Raw genomic sequence first — 6,171 nt, 5'->3', positions numbered from 1 at the left:
TCTACCATTTGATCCAGTAATCCCACTACTATATGTCTACCCAGAGGAAAAGAAGTCATTATACAAAAAAGATACTTGCTCACGCATGTTTATAGCAGCACAATTTGCAATTGCAAAAAATGTGGAACCAGCCCAAATGCCCATCAATGAGTATTTAAAGAAAATGTGATATGTATAGAGATAGAGATAGAAATATACCATGGTATACTACTCAGCCATAAAAAGGAACGAAATAATGGCATTCACAGCAACTTGGATGGAATTGGAGACTATTATTCTAAGTGAAGTAACTCGGGAATGGAAAACCAAACAGCTTATGTTCTCACTCACATGTGGGTGCTAAGCTATGAGGACCCAAAGGCATAAGAATGATACATTGGACTTTAAGGTCTCGGGGGAAAAAATGAGGGGTGGCAAGGGATAAAAGACTATACATTGGGTACTGTGTACACTGCTTGGGTGATGGGTGCACCAATATTTCAGACATCATCACTAAAGAATTTATTCATGTAACCAAACACCACCCGTTCCCTCAAAACCTATTAAAAAATAAAAAATAAAATAAATATAAATAAATAAAACATAGGAAACCAAACCTAACACAACTGTAAAAAGAAATGCACAAATCCACAACTATAGTTGGAGATTAAAATTCACCTCTCTCAATATTTGATAGAACAAGTAGACAGAAAATTATCTAAAACATGGAATACTTGAACAATACGATCAACTAAGTTGACCTAATTGACATTTATAGAAGAATCCACCCAACAACAGTAGAATACACATTCTTCTCATGTGCATGTGAAATATTCATGTGTGTGTGTGAAACATAGACCATATTCTGGGACATAAAACCAGTCTAAATAAATTTAAAAGAATTTAGGTCATACAAAGTCTATTCTGTGACTACAGAGGAATAAAATTTTTAAAATGAATAACATAGAAATCTCTAGAAACCAAACAACACACATCTATATAACCCAAATATTAAAGAATTCAAAAGGTAAATTGGCTCTGGTTGGAGTCACAGGGATGCTAAGACCACTGCCTGGGCCTTCGCTGACCATGCTGTCCCAGGTGGCACATTCTGCCACCACCATGGTGGCCCCCTCTCTGAAGAATACAGCCTTCATAGGTCCAGGGATATTGCAGGCAACAAAGACCTTTCACACAGGGCAGCCACACCTTGCCCTTCTACCACCTCTTCCTGAATATGGAGGGAAAGTTCATTTGGGGCTGATCCCTGAGGAATTCTTCCAGTTTCTTTATCCTAAAACTGGTGTAACAGGACCCTATGTGCTCAGAACTGGGCTTATCTTGTATGGTTTATCCAAAGAAATATATATGATTACCCCAGAGACCTTCTCTACCACATCGATAGTATGGTTACTTGTCTAAATAATTTTAAAATATCGCGCCTCTATTGGAGATTTTGCTGAAAAATTCAATGAGCAAAAAATTGCCCAACTAGAAGAGGTGAAGCAGGCTTCTATCAGACAAATCCAGGATGCAACTGATTTGGAGAAGTCACAGCAGGCACTCGTTCAGAAGCACCATTACCTTTTTGATGTGCAGAAAAACAACATTGCTATGGCTTTGGAGGTTACTGGGAACGACTGCATAGACTATATAAGGAAGTAAAGAATCACCTGGACTATCATATAACTGTGCAGAACATGATGCTTCGAAAGAAACAAGAACACATGATAAATTGGGTGGAGAAGCACGTGGTGCAGAGCATCTCTGCACAGCAGGAAAAGGAGACAATTGCCAAGTGCATTGCCAACCTAAAGCTGCTGGCAAAGAAGGCTCAAGCACAGCCAGTTATGTAAATGCATCTATCCCAATTGAGACAACTAGAAACAGTTGATTGACTAAATGGAAACCAGTCTATGTGACAAAATCTTTCTGTATTGTAGTATTTTTGTATCCTGTATTCTGTATTTTTAGGAGACGTAAACTATAACTTCAGTAGAAGTTTCCTCTCCTAAAAATGAAAAGTTTGTTTCATATAGTGAGAGAACTAAATCTATTGGCCAGTCAGATGGCTCTCATCCTTCTTACTCTGCATTTCAGTTGTTCCGTGATCACTTTTGAATAAGCGTTTGCCTTTATTAAAACTTGCTGCCTGACTCAAGATTACCAAGTTATAATTTAAACTTGTAATTAATTATACCATCTTGCAATATAGTGATAATTGAATGAAAAAATGGCAAATTGAATTGGAAAGTATTTTAAACTGAATGAAAATGAGACGGCAACATACCTAAATTCGTAGAATACCACAAAAATCATTTTAAATGGGGAGACTTACAGCACTACATGACTGTATTAGAAAATAAGGTCTCAAATCAATGAACTCAGCTTCAACTATGAGAAAAGAGAACAGGGCTTGGCAAACTACAGCCCTTCGATCAAACCAAGATCACTGCTCATTTTTAGAGATAAAATTTTATTGGCACAGTCTTGCACATTCTTTTACATCCTAGAGGGGCATACACACTTCAGTGGCAGAGTTGAGTGGTTGTACAAAGACTGTATGGCTCACAAAGCTAAAATATTGCCATGTCATCCTCTGCATAAGAAGTTTACTCACCCCTGAACTGGAAAAAGAAGTGCAAATTAAACCCAAAAACTATGGAAGAAACTAAATAAGGATTACAACAGAGTTCAGTGTAATTTAGAAAATACAGAATGAATACAGAAAAGCTTTGGTTCATTGAGAAAAATATATGAAAGTGATACTAATCAGAAAAACAGAAATTATCAATATGAGAAATGATAGAGACCTCCCTACAGAAACTACATATAATAAAAGAAAAATATGGGCCAGGTGCAGTGGCTCATGCCTGTAATCCCAGCACTTTGGGAGGCCGAAGCAGGCGGATCACGAGGTCAAGAGATCGAGACCATCCTGGCCAACATGGTGAAACTCTACTAAAAATACAAAAATTAGCTGGGCATGCTGGTGTACACCTGTAGTCCCAGCTACTCGGGAGGTTGAGGCAGGAGAATAGCTTGAACCTGGGAGGCAGAAGTTGCAGTGAGCCAAGATCATGCCATTGCACTCCAGCCTGGGCAACAGAGCGAGACTTCGTCTCAAAAAAACAAGCAAACAAACAAACAAATAATAAATGGAAAATATGAAAATAATATGAACTTCCTGCTAATAAATTCAACAACTTAGATGGAATAAACAAATTTCTCCAAAGACATAAATGACCAAAACTCACTGAACTAAGTAATCTGAACAATTCTATATTTATTAAAGAAAATCAATGTGTAACTAAAAAATCTTCTCACAAAGAAAATCCCATGCCAACATGTCTTTCCAAAATTTAAGGAAGAAATAATATGTATTGTTACATGAACTCTTCCAAAAAAATTGAAGAGTTTGAATTCTCCCCATCTCAATGTATAAAGTTACCATTACCTTGATACCAAAACCAGGCAAAGACATTAACACAAGAAAATCCTATACCAATATCCCTCATGAATAAAAATGCAATTTTTTTAATTTGACAAATCAAATCCAACAATACATAAAAATGATAATACATCATGAAAGAGTGGGATTTATCTCATGAAAACAGTGTTGGTAAACAATTTTGGCTTAGCATTTGAAAATCAATCAACTTAATTTATCTTATTAATACACTAAAAAATAAAATCCATGTGATTATCACAGTAGAAGCATAAAAAGCATTTGACAAAATCCAACATAAATTTCTGATAAAAACTCTCAGCAAAATAGGAATATAAGAAAACTTTATCAACTTCATAAAAGACATGATGAAAAACTACAGCTAACATGGTACTTAATAATGAAAGATTGGTTATTTTCCCCTTAAGACCAGAAAAAATGCAAAGATATCTGAACTTATATCTAGTTAACATTGTAGTGAAGGTTCCAGCTAGTGAAATAGGGAGAGAAAAAGGAATAAAAGGTATCCAGATTTGAATAGAAGAAGTAAAACTCTATTGTGAAACAACATTGTGCAAAAATAACCCAGGAAACCTACAAAAAACCCTGCTAGACCTAATAGTGAATTTCTCAAGTATCTTTAGTTTGTTCAGCATGCTGTAACAAAATACCATAAACTAGGTAGCTTATAAACAATAGAAATTTATTTCTCACAGATCTGGATGTTGGGAAGTCCAAGATCAAGGAACCAACAGATTCTTACAGAAATATATGTAACCAAGCTAAATCCATGATCTCTGTTGTCCAGTGTGAGATTGGTGCAGTAATCAGGGTACAGTCTAGCTAACAAAAAGTAACATAAGAATAGTTCAATTTCCTCCCTTGAGTTTTCTGAATGCCATGAATTGTATAGTCTCCAGCGAGGCTTCTCAAAATTTCCATTTTCCTTCCAACACTTTTGTCATACTATGTTGGTTTTGGGCCACATTTTACGGAAATGTCTTCCCCTGGCCCATCTGCTTGTTATCCTTTTTCTTGTCATTCCTGATTCTGCATCACAAAAGGCTAAGCAAATAGTCTGGCAACAGCAGATCTGTCCATGGGAGTCAAAGAAAGGGGTAAGTCTGAGTGGGCAACAGTAGAATTCTTTGACCAATTCAAGGATGAGGAAAACCTGGGAACATTCATGCATTGAAAGGAAGAACACTGATGTGCTTAAAAGCACAGGCTCTAGAGCTAGAATTCTAGGATCCTGTGTCAGGCTCCGTTATTTACCAGCTGGGCGACATTGATAAGTTTATCTAACCTTTCCGAGCTTCATTTGTCTTATCTGTAAAATGGAGATAATAATCATAACTTCCTAAGATGACTCTTTGAGCATTAAACGATTTAATACATGTGAGGTACTTAGAATTACACGTGGCACATATGAGGCTCTCTAAGCTAGTACTTAATTGCTATTCATATGTATAGTAATAACTTCGGCACTTTCAAACATAGGTACTTTTTGAGACCCAAAATGGAATGGGCAGTCTCAAGAGATAGTGATCTCCCTATTTCTAGAAGTGACCAAACTGATATTAGAGGAATGCTCCATCAAGAAAGTACACATCACATTCATTAATTTGATACTGATTGGACCAGGACTGCATAGAGTCCCTTTCATATATAAGGGTCTATATTTCTGTGCATCTTTTCTGCCTTGGTTATTTTCTTCCTGTTTCCACCATTCATCCACCCCAGATCAGAGAATTTGAATTCTCTTAATCCTAGGCATTTTTTTTTTCTTTCGCTTGAAGGTGTTTTGTAAAAAAAAGCTTTCTTTCAGATAACAAAACTGACAATTCACAAAATAGGGAAATAAAAATATGTTAACCTCACAGGAAATCAAATATTTGATAATACAAAGAATGTCCCTGCCTTGTGTACACACAAGATTGTAAGCACTGAGAATTTTGTAAAAAAATATATAATGTTTTTAGCCAACTGACACCCACACAAAACAAGTCTTTCTGCAAGATGGATAAAACAGAAAAACGAATTCGAAGTTAATATTTTCTAAGTAGAGAATTTACAGGTATTCCACTATAAAATATGTTTCTCTGTTTTCTTCTTTTTCTACTTCTTTTGCATTCAGGGAAATTCTAATAAACAGTTCAGCTTTTTATCCTGGTGGTCAAAGGAAAATGTATTTTCTAATCAAAGGAAAATCAATGACAATTATCAGAGTTTTTTCCCACATCTAACCTTATCTCCTTTACTCTACGTCCCCAAATGGTGGGGTATTCTTTCAGTTAAAGGCCACCACCACCTTCTTTGAGAACTTGCCCCCCTCTTCCTATACCTTTAACCTTCCTCTCCTTTCTGACTTTCCCACTTCAACCTGCAAATATTCCCACATGCTTCACATTCACTACAAACCCTCCTTTGACCTTGGATCCACCTCCTGCTACCAACCAGTCTATCACTTCTGCATCTCTATTCATACAGAATATCTCTCTCCTCTTCCCTCTCACTCTGCAGACATTTACTCCTCCTTTTAGAATCATTCCATAGTTGTAACACCATCCATCTCCCACCCCCCAATAAGAGTAGTAAACATCCCTCATTGCCTCACAGAATTACCCCAAATACCCTATTGGTGTTATCAGTTTACCTCAACAGCCTTGAAAGTAGACCTAGGAGGCTTGGCCGACAAAGAAAGAGATATACATTGATTCCTTAGGGAATAAATGAATGCACCA

The 6,171-nt window shown here is 36.5% G+C and overlaps 1 pseudogene; it reads left to right on the top strand.

Moving 5' to 3' along the window:
• ATP5PBP6 (ATP synthase peripheral stalk-membrane subunit b pseudogene 6) lies at positions 1,024–2,019 on the top strand (annotated as a pseudogene).
• The last annotated feature ends 4,152 nt before the right edge of the window (positions 2,020–6,171 follow it).

This window comes from Homo sapiens, chromosome 6, assembly GCF_000001405.40.
Source record: "Homo sapiens chromosome 6, GRCh38.p14 Primary Assembly".
Classification (NCBI taxonomy): Eukaryota; Metazoa; Chordata; class Mammalia; order Primates; family Hominidae; genus Homo; species Homo sapiens.
Note: the sequence above shows the minus strand (reverse complement) of the source record. Positions and strands in the feature narration are given on the sequence as shown.